This window comes from Homo sapiens, chromosome 7 (assembly GCF_000001405.40).
Source record: "Homo sapiens chromosome 7, GRCh38.p14 Primary Assembly".
In the NCBI taxonomy this organism is placed as follows: Eukaryota; Metazoa; Chordata; class Mammalia; order Primates; family Hominidae; genus Homo; species Homo sapiens.
The window spans coordinates 32,684,539-32,708,316 of NC_000007.14; the positions used below are offsets into that span (position 1 = coordinate 32,684,539).

Genomic DNA, 23,778 nt, shown 5'->3' on the forward strand with positions numbered 1-23,778 from the left:
GACTTTGCTGAAGTTGCTTATCAGCTTAAGGAGGTTTTGGGCTGAGACAATGGGGTTTTCTAGATATACAATCATGTCATCTGCAAACAGGGACAATTTGATTTCCTCTTTTCCTAATTGAATACCCTTTATTTCCTTCTCCTGCCTAATTGCCCTGGCCAGAACTTCCAACACTATGTTGAATAGGAGTGGTGATAGAGGTTTCAAAGTTTTCCTTTGAAAACTGTCTTGTGCCAGTTTTTCAAAGGGAATGCTTCCAGTTTTTGCCCATTCAGTATGATATTGGCTGTGGGTTTGTCATAGATAGCTCTTATTAATTTGAGATACGTCCCATCAATACCTAATTTATTGAGAGTTTTTAGTATGAAGCGTTGTTGAATTTTGTCAAAGGCCTTTTCTGCATCTATTGAGATAATCGTGTGGTTTTTGTCTTTGATTCTGTTTATATGCTGGATTACATTTATTGATTTGTGTATATTGAACCAGCCTTGCATCCCAGGGATGAAGCCCACTTGATCATGGTGGATAAGCTTTTTGATGTGCTGCTGGATTCGGTTTGCCAGTATTTTATTGAGGATTTTTGCATCAATGTTCATCAAGGATATTGGTCTAAAATTCTTTTTGGTTGTGTCTCTGCCTGGCTTTTATATCAGCATGATGCTGGCCTCAGAAAATGAGTTAGGGAGGATTCCCTCTTTTTCTATTGCTTGGAATAGTTTCAGAAGGAATGGTACCAGTTCCTCCTTGTACCTCTGGTAGAATTCGGCTGTGAATCCATCTGGTCCTGGACTCTTTTTGGTTGGTAAGCTATTGATTATTGCCACAATTTCAGAGCCTGTTATTGGTCTATTCAGAGATTCAACTTCTTCCTGGTTTAGTCTTGGGAGGGTGTATGTGTCAAGGAATTTATCCATTTCTTCTAGATTTTCTAGGTTATTTGTGTAGATGTTTGTAGTATTCTCTGATGGTAGTTTGTATTTCCATGGGATCGGTGGTGATATCCCCTTTATCATTTTTTGTTGCGTCTATTTGATTCTTCTCTCTTTTCTTACTAGTCTTGCTAGCGGTGTATCAATTTTGTTGATCCTTTCAAAAAACCAGCTCCTGGATTCATTGATTTTTTGAAGGGTTTTTTGTGTCTCTATTTCCTTCAGTTCTGCTCTAATTTTAGTTATTTCTTGCCTCCTGCTAGCTTTTGAATGTGTTTGCTCTTGCTTTTCTAGTTCTTTTAATTGTGATGTTAGGGTGTCAATTTTGGATCTTTCCTGCTTTCTCTTGTGGGCATTTAGTGCTATAAGTTTCCCTCTACACACTGCTTTGAATGCGTCCCAGAGATTCTGGTATGTTGTGTCTTTGTTCTCGTTGGTTTCAAAGAACATCTTTATTTCTGCCTTCATTTCGTTATGTACCCAGTAGTCATTCAGGAGCAGGTTGTTCAGTTTCTATGTAGTTGAGCGGTTTTGAGTGAGATTCTTAATGCTGAGTTCTAGTTTGATTGCACTGTGGTCTGAGAGATAGTTTGTTATAATTTCTATTATTTTACATTTGCTGAGGAGAGCTTTACTTCCAACTATGTGGTCAATTTTGGAATAGGTGTGGTGTGGTGCCGAAAAAAAATGTATATTCTGTTGATTTGGGGTGGAGAGTTCTGTAGATGTCTATTAGGTCCGCTTGGTGCAGAGCTGAGTTCAATTCCTGGGTATCCTTGTTAACTTTCTGTCTCATTGATCTGTCTAATGTTGACAGTGGGGTGTTAAAGTCTCCCATTATTAATGTGTGGGAGTCTAAGTCTCTTTGTAGGTCACTCAGGACTTGCTTTATGAATCTGGGTGCTCCTGTATTGGGTGCATATATATTTAGGATAGTTAGCACTTCGTGTTGAATTGATCCCTTTACCATTATGTAATGGCCTTCTTTGTCTCTTTTGATCTTTGTTGGTTTAAAGTCTGTTTTATCAGAGACTAGGATTGCAACCCCTGCCTTTTTTTGTTTTCCATTTGCTTGGTAGATCTTCCTCCATCCTTTTATTTTGAGCCTATGTGTGTCTCTGCACGTGAGATGGGTTTCCTGAATACAGCACACTGATGGGTCTTGACTCTTTATCCAATTTGCCAGTCTGTGTCTTTTAATTGGAGCATTTAGTCCATTTACATTTAAAGTTAATATTGTTATGTGTGAATTTGATCCTGTCATTATGATGTTAGCTGGTTATTTTGCTCTTTAGTTGATGCAATTTCTTCCTAGCCTTGATGGTCTTTAGAATTTGGCATGATTTTGCAGCAGCTGGTACCGGTTGTTCCTTTCCATGTTTAGTGCTTCCTTCAGGAGCTCTTTTAGGGCAGGCCTGGTGGTGACAAAATCTCTCAGCATTTGCTTGTCTGTAAGGTATTTTATTTCTTCTTCACTTATGAAGCTTAGTTTGGCTGGATATGAAATTCTGGGTTGAAAATTATTTTCTTTAAGAATGTTGAATATTGGCCCCCACTCTCTTCTGGCTTGTAGGGTTTCTGCCGAGAGATCCGCTGTTAGTCTGATGGGCTTCCCTTTGAGGGTAACCCAACCTTTCTCTCTGGCTGCCCTTAACATTTTTTCCTTCATTTCAACTTTGGTGAATCTGACAATTATGTGTCTTGGAATTGCTATTCTCGAGGAGTATCTTTGTGGCGTTCTCTGAATTTCCTGAATCTGAACGTTGGCCTGCCTTGCTAGATTGGGGAAGTTCTCCTGGATAATATGCTGCAGAGTGTTTTCCAACTTGGTTCCATTCTCCCCATCACTTTCAGGTACACCAATCAGACGTAGATTTGGTCTTTTCACATAGTCCCATATTTCTTGGAGGCTTTGCTCATTTCTTTTTATTCTTTTTTCTCTAGACTTCCCTTCTCGCTTCATTTCATTCATTTCATCTTCCATCACTGATATCCTTTCTTCCAGTTGATCACATCGGCTCCTGAGGCTTCTGCATTCTTCACGTAGATCTCGAGCCTTGGTTTTCAGCTCCATCAGCTCCTTTAAGCACTTCTCTGTATTGGTTATTCTAGTTATACATTCTTCTAAATTTTGTTCAAAGTTTTCAACTTCTTTGCCTTTGGTTTGAATGTCCTCCCGTAGCTCAGAGTAATTTGATCGTCTGAAGCCTTCTTCTCTCAGCTCCTCAAAGTCATTCTCCATCCAGCTTTGTTCCATTGCTGGTGAGGAACTGCGTTCCTTTGGAGGAGGAGAGGCGCTCTACTTTTTAGAGTTTCCAGTTTTTCTGTTCTGTTTTTTCCCCATCTTTGTGGTTTTATCTACTTTTGGTCTTTGATGATGGTGATGTACAGATGGGTTTTTGGTGTGGATGTCCTTTCTGTTTGTTAGTTTTCCTTCTAACAGACAGGACCCTCAGCTGCAGGTCTGTTGGAGTACCCTGCCATGTGAGGTGTCAGTGTGCCTCTGCTGGGGGGTGCCTCCCAGTTAGGCTGCTCGGGGGTCAGGGGTCAGGGACCCACTTGAGGAGGCAGTCTGCCCGTTCTCAGATCTCCAGCTGTGTGCTGGGAGAACCACTGCTCTCTTCAAAGCTGTCAGACAGGGACATTTAACTCTGCAGAGGTTACTGCTGTCTTTTTGTTTGTCTGTGCCCTGCCCCCAGAGGTGGAGCCTATAGAGGCAGGCAGGCCTCCTTGAGCTGTGGTGGGCTCCACCCAGTTGGAGCTTCCTGGCTGCTTTGTTTACCTAAGCAAGCCTGGGCAATGGCGGGCGCCCCTCCCCCAGCCTCGCTGCTGCCTGGCAGTTTGATCTCAGACTGCTGTGCTAGCAATCAGTGAGACTCCGTGGGGTAAGGACCCTCCGAGCCAGGTGGGGGATATAATCTCGTGGTGGGCCGTTTTTTAAGCCCGTCGGAAAAGCGCAGTATTAGGGTGGCAGTGACTCGATTTTCCAGGTGCCGTCCGTCACCCCTTTCTTTGACTCAGAAAGGGAACCCCCTGACCCCTTGCGCTTCCCAAGTGAGGCAATGCCTCGCCCTGCTTCGGCTCGCGCATGGTGCACGCACCCACTGACCTGCGCCCACTGTCTGGCACTCCCTAGTGAGATGAACCCGGTACCTCAGATGGAAATGCAGAAATCACCCGTCTTCTGCGTCGCTCACGCTGGGAGCTGTAGACCGGAGCTGTTCCTATTCGGCCATCTTGGCTCCTCCGACTGGCAGCATTTTGCACCTGGTCTAGAGACCTGTGGAACTTTGAAATAATATGGTTTGTCTCTGTGTCCCCACCAAAATCTCCTCTCGAATTGTAATCCTCAGGTGTCAAGGGAGGAACCTGGTGGGAATTGAGTGCATCATGGAGGTGGTTTCCCCCATGCGGTTCTCATGATAGTGAGTGAGTTCTCATGAGAGCTGATGGTTTTAAAGTGTGGCACTTCCTGGTTCGTTCTCTCTCTCTCTCTCTCTCTCTGTCTCACCTGCTGCTATATAAGATGTGCCTTGCTTCCCCTTTGTCTTCCACAATGATTGTGAATTTCCTGAGGCCTTCCCAGCCATGCAGAACTGTGAGTCAATTAAATCTCCTTTCTTTATAAATTACCCAGTCTCTGGTGGTATTTTTTTTTTTGAGGTAAGACTCTCACTCTGTTGCCCAGGCTGGAGTGCAGTGGCGCAATCTCAGTTCACTGCAAGCCCCGCCTCCTGGATTCACGCCGTTCTCCTGCCTCAGCCTCCCGAGTAGCTGGGACTACAGGCACCCGCCACCATGCCTGGCTAATTTTTTTGTATTTTTAGTAGAGACGGGATTTCACTTGTGTTAGCCAGGATGGTCTCGATCTCCTGACCTCGTGATCCGCCCGCCTCGGCCTCCCAAAGTGCTGGGATTACAGGCGTGAGCCACTGCGCCTGGCCTAATGGTATTCTTTATAGCAGTGTGAAAACGGACAAATACAGACTCCTTCCCTAGACACGAGAACCATGATGGCATTAGGGATGGAGTTATTAATGCATAATAGCAGAAAGCTCTTTACCTCAACATTATAAAGATAATAAAGGTATAGTTAACAATGATTGGACACACACTGTAGAAAAAGAAATGTGTGAATTCCATTAGAGTATTAAATTGAGCAATAGTGTTTGCAGCAAACTATGAGCATTATTCTTTAATTTCCACTCCCATTAAAGGAGAGGGTGGTCTCTTTTCAGGTAAAGATTGTTCATCTCTTTCTTCTGCATGCCCCATGCAGTTGTAAGCTAGATGGCATTCTGTATGTCAGGACCATTTTTCATTACTGCAAAATAGTCAAACTAAGTTTTAAAGAAAAGAATTTCTATCACTATGCATTGCTATAAGGCTTTTTATTCCAACATATGGTATTAAATAGGAGTTTTGTGCTCAATTGTGAATTTATATGAAAAGGAGATTAGGACACAACAGGCACAGAGGAAAGATCATGTGAAGACACAGGGAGAAAACACTCATCTGCAGATCAAGAAGAAAGATCCCAGAAGAAACTAACAGAGGCCCAAGAGTGGCCTTTGTGTTTCACTTCAGTGCTCTATGTTCTGGCCAATTGTCTGTCATCTTCCTTTCTGTGTGAATGAGTCCCCTGTGGGCAAAAGCAGAGACCACCCTTTGGGGCATACCTAGATGGGTGGCAGGCAGACAGCCACTATCTGTCATCTACCCAACCCCCACTTACGTCCTTTTCCCTCCACATCCCTCATCTTTCACCATCCCTCCCCTCCTACTCACCTTCTTCAGGTAGCAGGAGTGGGAGGTAGGAAAAAGCAATAAACTTATTAATATTAAAGATCCAAGCCACAAACCTTTGCCTCTGTTTAGCTTTTTGGTTTCAGACTCTTTTTCAAGGCAAAATTTTCTCAAAATTATCTGCTATAAAAACAGGAATTCAGAGAAACATTTACAAACTCTAAAAGTAGACAGATACCACCACCTTCCCCATCCTCCACCCAACCAGGCTGTGACAGTAGGTAAAATCTGTACACCAAACACCAATTCCCTTGATGGTATTTGGATCCATTTCCAATTGAGAAGCAGTCATCTATCCTTTTTCATTAGCTTCGCCTTCACTGGTGAGAAGTTAGTGGGAAGTAAAGACTCTGGAGGCCTGGAGTTGTTGGGTTTTAAAATTTTATGCCTGGAGGGTAAGTCCACTGTAGTAAATGCAAAGTTATTTTTAAACTTAAAGCCATGGAATACCACTACATTATAGTAACCAGCTATTTTGTTAACCTACATTCATTCATGTATTGTTTGTATGAATGTTCTGTTTCCAGCATAATGGCTTTTAAAAATTAAAGATATAAATTAGCTATTATTAGAGAAACAGCATGATAGTAAAACTCCCCTAAATTGGCATAACAAAATATTACTAATAGACTCTAGAGGGGACGGACAGTCTCTAAAGAATAAACAAACCATTGAGTAGAGAACAGAAATCCCACCCAACCAGTAAGTGCTCTATGCTGATCTTCAAACAATGAGTTCCTGGGTCTTAGCAATAACCACAAAAACAACTCACCACTAACCGAGTGCTTACTGAATCTCATATGCTTTACATGTATTACTTTATTTTTTTCTTCCAAATGTCACTTTTGAAGAAGATACCTTTAATATTTCCACTTTACAGATGATGAAATTTTAAAATGTTAAATAAATTGCCCAGCTAGTAAATGGTAGAGCAGGGATTCAAACCCACTCTTAATATATATACTATTATTTTGATCCCCAGAGCACTCAATATAGTGTTGGGTACTTTAAAAAGAATTAATAAAATGTTGAGCCATATGGGGGATGATTCAGCCATATTGTAGGGACAGAAAGCAGTAAAAGTGACCCAAATACCCTATCTTTAAAATGTTTGTATATTTTAACCATTTATTTTCCACCTTATTCTTTGGTGCAATGTTTGCTGAGCATCTGCTATGTTCCAGGTACTGTGTCGGGTGGAAAACAGGAATAAATAATATACAAACCCTTTTATTAAGTAATTCAGAGTTCAATAAAAGACTTCAAAGGAAAACAGATCATTTTTAAATGATCAAACTGTGTGACAGGTGGAGTGGCATTAGCAGATCACAGAGGGGATGTTCGGGACTGGCTGCTGGCAGGAGGGGACATCTGAGCAGGTGAGAGGCAGAGGTGTGGGAGGAAGACAGGTTAAGACCTTAACAGACAAGGGTACAGTGGGAGCACTGGCAGGAAAAAGAGTTGCTGGAAATTTCCAGCAATTTATTGTTGCTGAAGCAAAAGGTGTGATGTCAGGTGGGTCCCTGATCCTGGAGCGGAGGTGGGATGCAAAGCATGGAGACCCTTTTAAGGCACCAGAGGAGGGAGAGAGATTGAACAAACAGGAGAGGTGGGTGGGTGAGGGAGAGAAGAGCCACTGAGATCATCACAACTCAAACAAAACTAAAACAAGTGTAATACATGTCCCTTGAGTTCTCTTGCTTTCTCCCATTTTCTATTAAAACATGTGCAAACTAGCACCTTAACACTTTTTGTAATTTCATGACAAATGCTATCATATTTCATAGCCAGCAGATGGCACTAAGTATACATAAAATGAACATTTTGCACACTGTCACTTTTTTTTTTTTTCTCTTGAGACAGTCTCACTCTGTTGCCCACGCTGCAGTGCAGTGGCGCAATCGTGTCTCTCTGCATCATGGGCTCCAGCGATCCTCCTGCCTCAGCTTCCCGAGTAGCTGGGACCACAAGCGCCTACCTCCTACTTATTTTAAAAGAGTTCAATCCAGGCTCTACTGTTCTCAAGGGACTTTTCTCCATACTAGGAACTCTAAAATCTGACAATGGTCTGGATCTCTGAGATAGGCAAGGCATCTTGTAGGTACAGGGTCCTCTCTTCTGCCAGGGGCTACTGTGCTGTAGTCTCAGAGGGATTTCATCAGGGGATCCCAGTAAGGTTGTAAAATGAATAATGATCTTGGTGGCACCACACCATCTCTGTGTAGTGAGGAAAACTTATGTAAAACTGGAACGGGTGAAGGGGTGAAACTAGGAAGGTTTCATAGCTGTTAGAAGAGGGGGAACAGGATTGGGTGGGTAAAGCCTTCAGCTGTGAGGCCTGTTGACATCTATGAAAGAGGAAGAAAGCAGGAGAGCCTCCAGCTGCAAAGGACAGCTGACCAGGGCTTGGCTTGCTCAGTGAGCAGCTTCAGAGCAAAGATTGCCTGATGAAGCAGTTCAGCATTGGGCTGAAACAGCCAGGCCCTACAGTACCCTTCTAATCTGGTTTGGCTCTGTCCCCACCCAAAATCTCATCTTCAATTGTAATCCCCATAATCCCCACAAGTCAAGGGAGAGACCAGGTGGATATAATTGAATCATGGGGGTGTTTTCTCCCATGCTGTTCTCCTGATAGTGAGTTCTCACGAGAGCTGATGATTTTGTAAGTGTTTGGTAGTTTCTCCTGCGTTCATTTCTCCTTCCTGCCACCTTGTGAAGAAGGTGGCTTGCTTCCCCTTAACCTTTTGCCATGATTGTAAGTTTCCTGAGGCCTCCCCAGTCATGCTGAACTGTGAGTCAATTAAGCCTCTTTCCTTTATAAATTACCCAGTCTTGGGTATTTCCTTAGAGCAATGTGAGAACAGACTAGTATATCTTCCTTGCTCAGTCATTGGCTGGGGGTTGCCTAGGAAGAAGAATGTGGTCCAGCGTGAATGCCATGCAGATGCTGATGGCTCTACAGTTGAAGGCTGTCAGTTAACTCTGTTCCCTGCAGCTGGGCAGCAGGTTCTCAGAGGAATACCCTAGAGGTTGTGTACTTTTGTGGCTGCCACACCATCCTTATTAAAGAAATAACTCTCATATGTATGATCCCCATTGTATTTCTTAGGTCTGTGTGAAGCTGTGTAAACAGGCTTGCTCTTTTCAATAGCTGAGGTGCTTTTTAAATAAAATTCATACGTTCTTGGATATGATTCAATCCAGTATATTCCATGAACTGGCTTTGCAGCTTCATCTGAATAATCTCGATATTTATATATGAGTTATATGTATCTCTTGGATGAAAATTTTAAAAGTAAAGGCCATTATCTATATGTGCTCAAAGGATATAAAAGAATTTTAATCTCAGAAAAGCATAATAAGGAAGTCAGTATATATTTTAATCTCAGGCAAGCATACTAAGGAAGTCAGTAGCTGCAAAAGCTCCTCAAAAAATTATTCGAAGTCAAATATAAATAATCCTATTGCTCTTCTGGATTACGAATACATCATAGCTTTTTTATTAACATCCAATTCAAAGTTGGTCTATTGTCTGGTGGTATTAAAATGGATCACATGTGTAGCCCTTAATAATGCACATTGACTTGGAACACCTTGCTTGATCCTCATAATTCTATGAGGTAGTTATTATCACCTATGTACAGATGAAGAAACACATCCTGAGATATGTCAATTTTAATGCAATTTCTATGAATGACATCTTTTTTTCAAAACCCTATGAAACACAATCCAGTAATTTTTAAGAAGCTATACCACTCCTTCCTTACACAATATACAAAAATCAACTCAAGATGGATGAAAGACTTGAAAACTATAAAAAACCTAGAAGAAAATAGGAAAGGCCATGGACATAGGCCTTGGCAAAGACTTCATGATGAAAATGCCAAAAGCAATTGCAGCAAAAACAAAAATTGACAAATGGGATCTAACAAAACTAAGAGGTTCTGCACAGTAAAAGAAACTAACAACAGAGTAAACACACAGCCTACAGAATGGGGGAAAACACCTGCAAACTACACATCTGACAAAGGTCTAATATCCAGTACCTAAAAGGAACTTAAACCAACAAGCAAAAACAAACGGCCTCATTAAAAATGGGCAAAAAATGTGAACAGACACTTATCAAAAGGAGACATGCATGTAGGCAACAAGCATATGAAAAAATGTTCACCATCACTAATCATTAGAGAAATGCAAATCAAAACCACAGTAAGATGCCATCTCACACCAGTCAGAATGGCTATGATGAAAAAGTTTAAAAAAAAAAAGATGCTGGTGAAGTTTTGGAGAAAAGAGAACACTTATACACTGCTGGTAGAAATGTAAACCAGTTTGGCCACCGTGGAAAGCAGTTTGGAGATTTTTCAAAGAATTTAAAATGGAGCTATCATTCAACCCAGCAATCCCATTACTGGATATATACCCAAAGGAATATAAATTGTTCTACCATAAAAACACATATACACGTATGTTCATTGCAGCATTATTCACAATAGCAAAGACATGGAATCAACCTAAATGCCCATCAACGGCGGAATGGATAAAGAAAATATGGTACATATATACCATGGAATACTATACAGCCATATAAAAAGAATGAGATCATGTCCTCTGTAGCAACACAGATGGAGCTGGAGGCCAGTTTCCTAAGTGAACTAACACAGAACAGAAAACCAAATACTGTATGTGCTCCTTATAAGTACGAGCTAAACATTGAGCACACATGGACAAAAAGAAGGGAATAACAGGCACCAGGGCCTACTTGAGGGTGGAGGGTGGGAGGAGAGTGAGGACTGAGAAAATACCTATCAGGTACTATGCTTATTACCTGGGTGACAAAATAATCTGTACACCAAACCCCATGACATGTGATTTACCTATATAACAAACCTGCAAATGTACCCCTGAACCTAAAATAGAAGTTGGAAGGAAAAAAATTCATTGCACAAATGGAAACAATAAAATCTACAATTTGAACATGTATTTGAATAGCTAGACGTGTCATCAGAACAATTCTTGGTGCTTATTTAAGCACCCAGAGCTACCTAAAGAGAACATGAGGTTTAAGAACCACTGATGAGGAATCAAAGCCCTACTTTGAAGAGTATAAATATATAAGCATTATATACATATATACACACATATTTTAAAGAATTATAAAATGAACACTTGTATACTTAACACCAAGAAATTGAATATTAACATTGAAGCACCCAGGGCTTCTCCTGTATTGCATTCTTTCCTAGAAGTGATCACCAGCCTGTTTTGAATTAACTATGCCTATGCTTTCGCTGTTTTGCCACACTATATCTTCTATAATATTGTTGTCTTGTTTGTTTTTAGGGCATATGTAAATGGCATATATATTGACATGCACACTCATCCCCTTTGATGACTTAGTTTTTTATCTTTAACAGTCTATTTGACATTGGTTCCCGCTGACACTTTTGACTGTAGATCACATTCACTCATTTACAATATTACTTTGTATGGAAATATTCATTTTATCCATTCTGTTGGTGGGCCTTTGAGTTGTTTTCAGCTTTTTTTTCTCAGGTACAAATAATGCTTCCATGAAGATTCATGTAATTGGTTTCCTTGGTATATTTGTACCAATATTTCTTTAGGGTGAAACTATAAATTGCAGACACTATATACCTTAAAACTTATTAGGTAATAACGACTTATTTTCTTTTTATTATTATTATACTTTAAGTTTTAGGGTACATGTGCACAACGTGCAGGTCTGTTACATATGTATACATGTGCCATGTTGGCATGCTGCACCCATTAACTCGTCATTTAGCATTAGGTGTATCTCCTAATGCTATCCCTCCCCCCTCCCCTCACTCCACAACAGTCCCCGGTGTGTGATGTTCCCCTTCCCACGTCCATGTGTTCTCATTGTTCAATTCCCACCTATGAGTGAGAACATGCCGTGTTTGGTTTTTGGTCTTTGTGATAGTTTGCTGAGAATGATGGTTTCCAGTTTCATCCATGTCCCTACAAAGGACATGAACTCATCATTTTTTATGGCTGCAGTGAGCCAAGATCGTGCCACTGAACTCCAGCCTGGGCGACAGAGCAAGACTCCATCTCAAAAAAAAAAGGGAGAACCAAGGATTTTATATCTAGCCAATCTGTCATTCAAGTATAGATGTTATAAAAAAAGTTTCAAATATGCAATAATTGAGGAAATAATAGTAACCTTCTCAAATACAAAAAGTTTAAAAGAGAATCATATACAGAAACAAAGCAAATATAGTCAAATACACATAAAACTTACAACAAAGGTTCTCACATTATCTCACAAAGCAAAGACAGACTCAACTTATGCTACACAGGGAAGACAAATACAAACAGATTCAGAAAGGTGAAAAATAGAATGATGGCATCAGCATGGCAGGCAATACCATTTCCATATGCAAACTAAGGAAGACATTTAAAGCAAGGATAAGAAGCAAATTCATGGCCTCAAAAGCTTTATCAATAAAAATGAAAGAGTGAAAATAAATGAATTAAATTCTTGACTTAAAAATCTAAATAAATAACAAAATAAAGCAAAAAAAGTATACTAAAGGAAATACTCATGAGAAGAATAGTCTATTATATCTACCCCTCTGTGTATCTATTTTGCGTTTTATATTTCTTCTCTATATTCTAGGATTCCTTCTTTCATTTCCTTTTTGTTTTCAGAATTTTTAAATTTTAAGTTCAGGGATACATGTGCAGGATGTGCATGTTTGTTACATAGGTAAACGCGTACCATGGTGGTTTGCTGCACCTAACAACTTATTACCTAGGTATTAAGCCCAGCATACATTAGCTATTTTTCCTGATGCTCTCCCTCCCCATACCCTCCCCTGACAAGCCCCAGTGTGTTTTGTTCCCCTCCCAGTGTCCGTGTGTTCTCACTGTTCAGCTCCCACTTGTAAGTGAGAACATGCAGTGTTTGGTTTTCTGTTCCTGCATTAGTTTACTGAGGATAATGGCTTCCAGCTCCATCCACGTCCCTGCCAAGGACATGATCTCATTTCTTTTTATGACTGCAAAATATTCCATGGTATATATGTACCATATTTTCTTTATCCAGTCTATCACTCATGGGCATTTGGGTTGCTTCCACGCTATCAAAAAAGAGCTCATACAGCCAAGACAATCCTAAGCAAAAAGAACAAAGCTAGAGGCCTCAGCCTACCTGACTTCAAACTATATTACAAGGCTACAATAACAAAAACAGCATGGTCATGGTAAAAAACAGGCATATTGACCAATGGAACAGAATAGAGAACTCAGAAATAAAACCACATATCTACGACCATCTGGTCTTCAAGAAACCTGACAAAAGAACTTCAATTAACCATTCTTTTTTTTGTTTGCTTGTTTGTTATTATACTTTAAGTTTTAGGGTACATGTGCACATTGTGCAGGTTAGTTACATATGTATACATGTGCCATGCTGGTGCACTGCACCCACTAACTCGTCATCTAGCATTAGGTATATCTCCCAATGCTATCCCTCCCCCCTCCCCCCACCCCACAACAGTCCCCAGAGTGTGATATTCCCCTTCCTGTGTCCATGTGATCTCATTATTCAATTCCCACCTATGAGTGAGAATATGCAGTGTTTGGTTTTTTGTTCTTGCGATAGTTTACTGAGAATGATGATTTCCAATTTCATCCATGTCCCTACAAAGGACATGAATTCATCATTTTTTATGGCTGCATAGTATTCCATGGTGTATATGTGCCACATTTTCTTAATCCAGTCTATCATTGTTGGACATTTGGGTTGGTTCCAAGTCTTTGCTATTGTGAATAATGCGGCAATAAACATACGTGTGCATGTGTCTTTAGAGCAGCATGATTTATAGTCCTTTGGGTATATACCCAGTAATGGGATGGCTGGGTCAAATGGTATTTCTAGTTCTAGATCCCTGAGGAATTGCCACACTGACTTCCACAATGGTTGAACTAGTTTACAGTCCCACCAACAGTGTAAAAGTATTCCTATTTCTCCACATCCTCTCCAGCACCTGTTGTTTCCTGACTTTTTAATGATTGCCATTCTAACTGGTGTGAGATGGTATCTCACAGTGGTTTTGATTTGCATTTCTCTGATGGCCAGTGATGATGAGCATTTTTTCATGTGTTTTTTGGCTGCATAAATGTCTTCTTTTGAGAAGTGTCTGTTCATGTCCTTTGCTCACTTTTTGATGGGGTTGTTTGTTTTTTTCTTGTAAATTTGTTTGAGTTCATTGTAGATTCTGGATATTAGCCCTTTGTCAGATGAGTAGCTTGTGAAAATTTTCTCCCATTTTGTAGGTTGCCTGTTCATTCTGATGGTAGTTTCTTTTGCTGTGCAGAAGCTCTTTAGTTTAATTAGATCCCATTTGTCAATTGTGTCTTTTGTTGCCATTGCTTTTGGTGTTTTGGACATGAAGTCCTTGCCCATGCCTAGGTCCTGAATGGTGATGCCTAGGTTTTCTTCTAGGGTTTTTATGGTTTTAGGTCTAACGTTTAAGTCTTTAATCCATCTTGAATTGATTTTTGTATAAGGTGTAAGGAAGGGATCCAGTTTCAGCTTTCTACATAAGGCTAGCCAGTTTTCCCAGCACCATTTATTAAATAGGGAATCCTTTCCCCATTGCTTGTTTTTCTCAGGTTTGTCAAAGATCAGATAGCTGTAGATATGCGGCATTATTTCTGAGGGCTCTGTTCTGTTCCATTGATCTATATCTCTGTTTTGGTACCAGTACCATGCTGTTTTGGTTACTGTAGCCTTGTAGTATAGTTTGAAGTCAGGTAGTGTGATGCCTCCAGCTTTGTTCTTTTGGCTTAGGATTGACTTGGCGATGCGGGCTCTTTTTTGGTTCCATATGAACTTTAAAGTAGTTTTTTCCAATTCTGTGAAGAAAGGCATTGGTAGCTTGATGGGGATGGCATTGAATCTGTAAATTACCTTGGGCAGTATGGCCATTTTCACGATATTGATTCTTCCTACCCATGAGCATGGAATATTCTTCCATTTGTTTGTATCCTCTTTTATTTCCTTGAGCAGTGGTTTGTAGTTCTGCTTGAAGAGGTCCTTCACATCCCTTGTAAGTTGGATTCCTAGGTATTTTATTCTCTTTGAAGCAATTGTGAATGGGAGTTCACTCATGATTTGGCTCTCTGTTTGTCTGTTGTTGGTGTATAAGAATGCTTGTGATTTTTGTACATTGATTTTGTATCCTGAGACTTTGCTGAAGTTGCTTATCAGCTTAAGGAGATTTTGGGCTGAGACAATGGGGTTTTCTAGATATACAATCATTTTGTCTGCAAACAGGGACAATTTCGCTTCCTCTTTTCCTAATTGAATACTCTTTATTTCCTTCTCCTGCCTAATTGCCCTGGCCAGAACTTCCAACACTATGTTGAATAGGAGTGGTGAGAGAGGGCATCCCTGTCTTGTGCCAGTTTTCAAAGGGAATGCTTCCAGTTTTTGCCCATTCAGTATGATATTGGCTGTGGGTTGGTCATAGATAGCTCTTATTATTTTGAAATACGTCCCATCAATACCTAATTTATTGAGAGTTTTTAGCATGAAGGGTTGTTGAATTTTGTCAAAGGCTTTTTCTGCATCTATTGAGATAATCATGTGGTTTTTGTCTTTGGCTCCCAGTATTTTATTGAGGATTTTTGCATCAATGTTCATCAAGGATATTGGTCTAAAATTCTCTTTTTTGGTTGTGACTCAGCCCGGCTTTGGTATCAGAATGATGCTGGCCTCAGAAAATGAGTTAGGGAGGATTCCCTCTTTTTCTATTGATTGGAATAGTTTCAGAAGGAATGGTACCAGTTCCTCCTTGTACCTGTGGTAGGATTCGGCTGTGAATCCACCTGGTCCTGGACTCTTTTTGGTTGGTAAACTATTGATTATTGCCACAACTTCAGCTCCTGTTATTGGTCTATTCAGAGATTCAACTTCTTCCTGGTTTAGTCTTGGGAGGGTGTATGTGTCGAGGAATTTATCCATTTCTTCTAGATTTTCTAGTTTATTTGCGTAGAGGTGTTTGTAGTATTCTCTGATGGTAGTTTGTATTTCTGTGGGATCAGTGGTGATATCCCCTTTATCATTTTTTATCGTGTCTATTTGATTCTTCTCTCTTTTTTTCTTTATTAGTCTTGCTAGCGGTCTATCAATTTTGTTGATCCTTTCAAAAAACCAGCTCCTGGATTCATTGATTTTTTGAAGGGTTTTTTGTGTCTCTATTTCCTTCAGTTCTGCTCTGATTTTAGTTATTTCTTGCCTCCTGCTAGCTTTTGAATGTGTTTGCTCTTGCTTTTCTAGTTCTTTTAATTGTGATGTTAGGGTGTCAATTTTGGATCTTTCCTGCTTTCTCTTGTGGGCATTTAGTGCTATAAATTTCCCTCTACACACTGCTTTGAATGTGTCCCAGAGATTCTGGTATGTTGTGTCTTTGTTCTCGTTGGTTTCAAAGAACATCTTTATTTCTGCCTTCATTTCGTTATGTACCCAGTAGTCATTCAGGGGCAGGTTGTTCAGTTTCCATGTAGTTGAGCGGCTTTGAGTGGGATTCTTAATCCTGAGTTCTAGTTTGATTGCACTGTGGTCTGAGAGATAGTTTGTTATAATTTCTGTTATTTTACATTTGCTGAGGAGAGCTTTACTTCCAACTATGTGGTCAATTTTGGAATAGGTGTGGTGTGGTGCTGAAAAAAATGTATATTCTGTTGATTTGGGGTGGAGAGTTCTGTAGATGTCTATTAGGTCTGCTTGGTGCAGAGCTGAGTTCAATTCCTGGGTATCCTTGTTGACTTTCTGTCTCATTGATCTAATGTTGACAGTGGGGTGTTAAAGTCTCCCATTATTATTGTGTGGGAGTCTAAGTCTCTTTGTAGGTCACTCAGGACTTGCTTTATGAATCTGGGTGCTCCTGTATTGGGTGCATATATATTTAGGATAGTTAGCTCTTCTTGTTGAATTGATCCCTTTACCATTATGTAATGGCCTTGTCTCTTTTGATCTTTGTTGGTTTAAAGTCTGTTTTATCAGAGACTAGGATTGCAACCCCTGCCTTTTTTTGTTTTCCATTTGCTTGGTAGATCTTCCTCCATCCTTTTATTTTGAGCCTATGTGTGTCTCTGCACGTGAGATGGGTTTCCTGAATACAGCACACTGATGGATCTTGACTCTTTATCCAATTTGCCAGTCTGTGTCTTTTAATTGGAGAATTTAGTCCATTTATATTTAGTTAATATTGTTATGTGTGAATTTGATCCTCTCATTATGATGATAGCTGGGGATTTTGCTCGTTAGTTGATGCAGTTTCTTCCTAGTCTCGATGGTCTTTAAATTTTGGCATGATTTTGCAGCTGCTGGTACCGGTTGTTCCTTTCCATGTTTAGCGCTTCCTTCAGGAGCTCTTTTAGGGCAGGCCTGGTGGTGACAAAATCGGTCAGCATTTGCTTGTCTGTAAAGTATTTTATTTCTCCTTCACTTATGAAGCTTAGTTTCACTGGATATGAAATTCTGGGTTGAAAATTCTTTTCTTTAAGAATGTTGAATATTGGCCCCCACTCTCTTCTGGCTTGTAGGGTTTCTGCCGAGAGATCCACTGTTAGTCTGATGGGCTTCCCTTTGAGGGTAACCGGACCTTTCTCTCTGGCTGCCCTTAACATTTTTTCCTTCATTTCAACTTTGGTGAATCTGACAATTATGTGTCTTGGAGTTGCTCTTCTTGAGGAGTATCTTTGTGGCATTCTCTGTCTTTCCTGAATCTGAACGTTGGCCTGCCTTGCTAGATTGGGGAAGTTCTCCTGGATAATATCCTGCAGAGTGTTTTCCAACTTGGTTCCATTCTCCTCATCACTTTCAGGTACACCAATCAGACGTAGATTTGGTCTTTTCACATAGTCCCATATTTCTTGGAGGTTTTGCTCATTTCTTTTTATTCTTTTTTCTCTAAACTTCCCTTCTCGTTTCATTTCATTCATTTCATCTTCCATTGCTTATATCCTTTCTTCCAGTTGATCACATCAGCTCCTGAGGCTTCTGCATTCTTCACGTAGTTCTCGAGCCTTGGTTTTCAGCTCCATCAGCTCCTTTAAGCACTTCTCTGTATTGGTTATTCTAGTTATACATTCTTCTAAATTTTGTTCAAAGTTTTCAACTTCTTTGCCTTTGGTTTGAATGTCCTCCCGTAGCTCAGAGTAATTTGATCGTCTGAAGCCTTCTTCTCTCAGCTCGTCAAAGTCATTCTCCATCCAGCTTTGTTCTGTTGCTGGTGAGGAACTGCGTTCCTTTGGAGGAGGAGAGACGCTCTGCGTTTTAGAGTTTCCAGTTTTTCTGTTCTGTTTTTTCCCCATCTTTGTGGTTTTATCTACTTTTGGTCTTTGATGATGGTGATGTACAGATGGGTTTTCAGTGTGGATGTCCTTTCTCTTTGTTAGTTTTCCTTCTAACAGACAGGACCCTCAGCTGCAGGTCTGTTGGAATAACCTGCTGTGTGAGGTGTCAGTGTGCCCCTGCTGGGGGTGCCTCCCAGTTAGGTTGCTGGGTGGTCAGGGACCCACTTGAGGAGGCAGTCTGCCTCTTCTCAGATCTCCAGCTGCGTGCTGGGAGAACCACTGCTCTCTTCAAAGCTGTCAGACAGGGATATTTAAGTCTGCAGAGGTTACTGCTGTCTTTTTGTTTGTCTGTGCCCTGCCCCCAGAGGTGGAGCCTATAGAGGCAGGCAGGCCTCCTTGAGCTGTGGTGGGCTCCACCCAGTTCGAGCTTCCCGGCTGCTTTGTTTACCTAAGCAAGCCTGGGCAATGGCGGGCGCCCCTCCCCCAGCCTCGCTGCTGCCTTGCAGTTTGATCTCAGACTGCTGTGCTAGCAATCAGCGAGACTCCGTGGGCGTAGGACCCTCCGAGCCAGGTGCGGGATGTAATCTCGTGGTGCACCGTTTTTTTAGCCCGTCGGCAAAGCGCAGTATTAGGGTGGGAGTGACCTGATTTTCCAGGTGCCATCTGTCACCCCTTTCTTTGACTAGGAAAGGGAACTCTCTGACCCCTTGCGCTTCCCGAGTGAGGCAAGGCCTCGCCCTGCTTCGGCTCGCGCACGGTATGCTGCACCCACTGTCCTGCGCCCACTGTCTGGCACTCCCTAGTGAGATGCACTCGGTACCTCAGATGGAAATGCAGAAATCACCCGTCTTCTGCGTCGCTCACGCTGGGAGCTGTAGACTGGAGCTGTTCCTATTCGGCCATCTTGGCTCCTCCCCCTTAACCATTCTTTAAGGTTCTCTGCTAGCCACAAATTATTTTAATTTTCCTTGATTGGAGAATGTCTATTTCCCCTTCATTCCTAAGGGAAACATCCACTGGATATGTAATTCATCTTGACAATGTTCTGCCACAACCTTCTGGCCTCCTTAATTTCACATGAGAAGTCTGCTACAATTCAAGTCAGTTTTGCCTGTAGGTGATGTGTCATTTCTCCGTACCTGCTTTCAAGATTTTTTCTTTTCGTTTTAAAAGTTAACTTATAATGTATCTTGGCATGGATTTCTCTGGGTTTGTCTTACTTGGGAATGGCTCAGTGTCTTCACTCTGCAGGTGTGTCTTTCACCAAATTTGGGGAGTTTTTAGCAATTACTTCTTAAAATACTATTCAGCCCCACTCTCTTTTTCCATTCCTTCTGAAATTTTGATGATACAAATATTAAATCTTTTGTTACTACACCATAGGTCCCGGAGGCTCTGTCCTTTTTCCTGTGATTTTCTCTCAATTTACATTGGGAGATTTCTATTGTTCTATCTGCAAGAGCAGTGACTGCTTCCTCAGTAATATTCACTCCGCTACCAAGTCCATTTACTGAATTTTAATTTTAGTTATTGTATTTTTCAGTTCTATAATCACCAAGTTGTTCTTTAAAAAAAAAAAAAATTCTGTGGTGAGATTTTATAGCCTTTTCATTTGCTTCCAGAGTATTTAAAACTGCTCATTGAAGTGTTTTTATGATGACTGCTTTAAAACCCTTGTCGAATAATCCCCACATCCTATTCATCTCAGTGTTGACATTTGTTGTCTTTTCTCATTCAAGTTGTTTTCTCCATTCTTGCTATGATGAGTGGTTTTTCTATTGTGTCCAGTACATTTTTTATATTATGTTAGAGACTGTGGATCCTATCTTAAATTTCTATTTCAGCAGACAGTCATTTTGTTTTTAGGTTTATCACGCAAGTCCTGGCCTACTTCTGTGTGCTATAGTTACAATGACAGTTTAGTTTTCAGAGTCTTTGCAATGCTAGTGCTATTGTGGTCAGCTTGATTCATCTGGTGCCCTGGTGCTCCGTCTCCACCCCAAATCATGCTGCCGATGCAGGAAGAATGTATTTCCCATGTCCTGTTGCCATGGGATAGAGGGTGAGAGACACCAGACTGTGGGGTAGGGGGTTGGCAGAGGGCAGAGGGCTCTTTCCTAGGGTGCCTAGTCCTAGCAGGGCACCTGTTAGATCTCCGCTGCTGCTACCTGCATGGGCAGCCTCCCTGGAGGGAATAGTAGATACCAGACCCACAGGATGGAGAGCATTTCCCTGGACCCTCTTTCTGATTGTCTTCTGCCACTGGATGGAGTTTCAGGAGGTGGCAGCCTGTGGTGTTTTTCTGTGAGTTCTGAGGTACCTAACTAGTCTGCCTTTCTATATAGCATTGGGCTGGGATTGGAGCTACAGTTATGAAATCATGATTTCATACACACACACACGTGTGCACATACGTGCAGTGAAAGGGCCTAGAAACAAGGACACACTGGTAGTAATAAGTGCACATACCACTCAGGTCTTGGTTTCCAAATACCATTCTCCTCTAAAAGGAACCAGGGCTCCTTGGAAAAAATGGCTGATTCCAAGGCTAGCACAAGGAAAATCAAGAAAAGCCTGGAGCATTATAAATTTATAAAGACATGTCAAAGAGACATCCAGCTTAGGAACATTCAAAACGGCTAGGCCCAGAACTGATATTTGTGTATAACATATGGTTTTTCTCATATAGATAGACTATTCCAGCATCATTTAGTGAAAAGTGACCTGCAAGACAATCTTGCTGAAATTGCTTTGAATCTGAACATCAGCTGGGGAGAACTGCATTACATGAAACTTCATACACATAAATGTGTTTTATTTTTCTATTTATGTCTTAGAATTATTAAAATAAATTTTCATACAAATACTATATGTATTTTGTTAGATTCATTCAGATCCTATGCATTTTTCTTCCTAATACATAAGGCATATTTTTAAAAAATATGTTTTCTGTTTGTTGCCAAAGAATAAAAATGCAATTGATTTTTGAATATTAAACATATCTAGCCATGGTATTGAATTCTTCTAATTCCTAATAAGTTGTCAATTATTTTATTCTTTCTAGGTAAATATTGATACTATAATAAATTTTCCTTCTTTCTGTTTCTTTCCTTTTCCTATTATTTACTTTTCTTGCATTACTAGGCTAGTTTGGACTTTATTTTTTTTTATTTTTTATTTTTTTCTTTTGAGACGGAGTCTCGCTCTGTCGCCCAGGCCGGACTGCGGACTGCGGACTGCAGTGGCGCAATCTCGGCTCACTGCAAGCTCCGCTTCCCGGGTTCACGCCATTCTCCTGCCTCAGCCTCCCGAGTAGCTGGGACTACAGGCGCCCACCACCGCGCCCGGCTAATTTTTTGTATTTTTAGTAGAGACGGGGTTTCACCTTGTTAGCCAGGATGGTCTCGATCTCCTGACCTCATGATCCACCCGCCTCGGCCTCCCAAAGTGCTGGGATTACAGGCGTGAGCCACCGCACCCGGCCTGGACTTTAATAAAATGTGAAAAAGCACATTTATCTTTATCTTGATTTTAAACAGAACACTCTAAATACTTTATTATCAGTAAGACTAATGACTGCTGAAGAATTTTACTGGGTTGAGAAAACTGTTATTTCTATTGTGTTACATGTTTTCATTATAAATGGATGTTCAATTTTATCAATTTTATTTTCTGCATCTAATGGGATGATCATAAGATTTTTTCTCTTTTAATCTGTTAGTGTGATAACTTACATTTTTGGATTTTCCAGAAATGTCTTTGGATTCCTAGAATAAGCCAGATTTATCACAAGTGGATTATCTTTATCATATATATGGCTGTTCTTGAGTTACTAATCTTTTATACTTTTGTGTGTAAGGAATGCTTTTAATCTAGGTGAAATTTTGAATCTATGCTCACAAATAAGAATATCCTTTCTCAAACTATCCTCATCTGGCCTTAGTACTGAGCTTTAGATTATCTTGGAGGTTCCATTTCCCTTCTTGTAATGATTCTTATGCCTCATGGCACACACAAAGTTCCCCTTTGTAAATTTCATATGAGCTCAATTCAATAATTACCTTGCCACCAAAAACTGGAGTCTCCCATTAAACAGTGAATTTGCTTCTATTGATGTTAAACTCTAAACTGAATCACTTAGATCTAAAAATACCTTGTGCAGGTTGTGTGTAATAAATACTTACCTTTGCCAAAGACATACAGAGCTAGAAACAGAAAATAATACCTAGGAAGGCTTAAAAAACATGTAAGCTGAACATTTGGTTAAATCTCAACTTTTCTCTCCTTAGATTTTTTGTTTCTTTGATATTCTTGAATTTAAAACTTAGTCAATTCATGTTCTTTCCAGTCTACTACTGAAAATATTCTTGAAAATGAAGACAGTAAATTTTCCTTTGAGTGCAGCCTTGGCAGAATTTTTTTGATGTTTATGGACACTCTTCTACTTACTGTCATTTTTCAATAGTTTGCAACTGAAATTCTGACCTTCTTTTGAGTTGTATTAAATTGCTCAATTTTTCTGAAGTGAAAGAATTATATATTACAAGTGTAATGTCGATATGTGAATTTCTACAAAGCCTGCATGCCTAACAACAGGTGGCCTGGGTAAAGAGTCAAATTGGTAGAACCAATAAAGAATAATAAAAAGACAAAAAAAGCATCATGTCATTCATTCAACAACTTACTGGACAAATCTTTCTATATTTTCACCATAAAGGATGGGAGAATGCCTCCAACAAGAAGAAAATAGCAACTCCTTACATTTTGTTCTCTTGTATTGTGGGTAGGAACCTACCTCCTCAACTTGTAACATTTCCAGACTTATCCTCTCAATATATAACATGAAAACATACAGTTCATTTCTTCCGTCACCCAGGGTGGAGTGCAGTGGGGTGATCATGGCTCACTGTAACCTTCCCGGGCTCAAGCAATCCTCCCATCTCAGCCTCCTGAGTAGTTGGGATCACAGGCTCATGCCACCATGCCCAACTAGTTTTTCTATTTTTTGTAGAGACGGGGTTTTGCCATGTTGCCCAGGCTGGTCTCAAACTCCTGGGCTGAAGCTCTCTGTTCGTGTTGGCCTCCCAAAGTGCAGTGATTACAGGCGTGAACCACTGTGTGTGGCCCAGGGTTTATTTTTTAATAGAAGTACATCACAGACCAGAGAAAAAGAATATCAACTGTCTCATATTAAGATAATTTAAGAGTTGCACTACCTGCCTAATAACTTATTTTACTAGGAAACCATGGAGGTAATATGGGCCATCCATCTGCATATTAGGGAAGAAGCCAAACAAAGATTAGGTTGTGGCTGAGTTCAAATTAGAAGGGGCTGGGAGACTGTAAGGAAAATGTTAAAAGGACAAAAGTAATAGACTCTAAAGTTGGAAGATGGCCGAATAGGAACAGCTCCGGTCTACAGCTCCCAGCGTGAGCGACGCAGAAGACGGGTGAGTTCTGCATTTCCATCTGAGGTACTGGGTTCATCTCACTAGGGAGTGCCAGACAGTGGGCGCAGGACAGTGGGTGCAGCATACCGTGCGCGAGCCGAAGCAGGGCGAGGCCTTGCCTCACTCGGGAAGCGCAAGGGGTCAGAGAGTTCCCTTTCCTAGTCAAAGAAAGGGGTGACAGATGGCACCTGGAAAATCAGGTCACTCCCACCCTAATACTGCGCTTTGCCGACGGGCTT

The 23,778-nt window shown here is 40.7% G+C and overlaps 1 pseudogene across 1 annotated transcript in view, besides 4 other annotated features; it reads right to left on the reverse strand.

The window, feature by feature from the left end:
* DPY19L1P1 (DPY19L1 pseudogene 1) overlaps positions 1–23,778 on the reverse strand; it is a 138,230-nt pseudogene that overhangs the window by 103,600 nt on the left and 10,852 nt on the right. The gene's annotated exons all lie outside the window — the stretch shown is intronic.
* Positions 3,314–3,904: an enhancer, noted in NCBI's record as "NANOG-H3K27ac-H3K4me1 hESC enhancer chr7:32727464-32728054 (GRCh37/hg19 assembly coordinates)". NCBI's record gives its function as "activates a minimal SCP1, AML or CMV promoter by ChIP-STARR-seq in primed H9 embryonic stem cells {active_cell/tissue: H9 hESC(primed)}" and the evidence as "EXISTENCE:reporter gene assay evidence [ECO:0000049][PMID:30033119]".
* Positions 18,172–18,672: an enhancer, noted in NCBI's record as "H3K4me1 hESC enhancer chr7:32742322-32742822 (GRCh37/hg19 assembly coordinates)". NCBI's record gives its function as "activates a minimal SCP1, AML or CMV promoter by ChIP-STARR-seq in primed H9 embryonic stem cells {active_cell/tissue: H9 hESC(primed)}" and the evidence as "EXISTENCE:reporter gene assay evidence [ECO:0000049][PMID:30033119]".
* Positions 18,673–19,173: an enhancer, noted in NCBI's record as "H3K4me1 hESC enhancer chr7:32742823-32743323 (GRCh37/hg19 assembly coordinates)". NCBI's record gives its function as "activates a minimal SCP1, AML or CMV promoter by ChIP-STARR-seq in primed H9 embryonic stem cells {active_cell/tissue: H9 hESC(primed)}" and the evidence as "EXISTENCE:reporter gene assay evidence [ECO:0000049][PMID:30033119]".
* Positions 23,239–23,742: an enhancer, noted in NCBI's record as "H3K27ac-H3K4me1 hESC enhancer chr7:32747389-32747892 (GRCh37/hg19 assembly coordinates)". NCBI's record gives its function as "activates a minimal SCP1, AML or CMV promoter by ChIP-STARR-seq in naive H9 embryonic stem cells {active_cell/tissue: H9 hESC(naive)}" and the evidence as "EXISTENCE:reporter gene assay evidence [ECO:0000049][PMID:30033119]".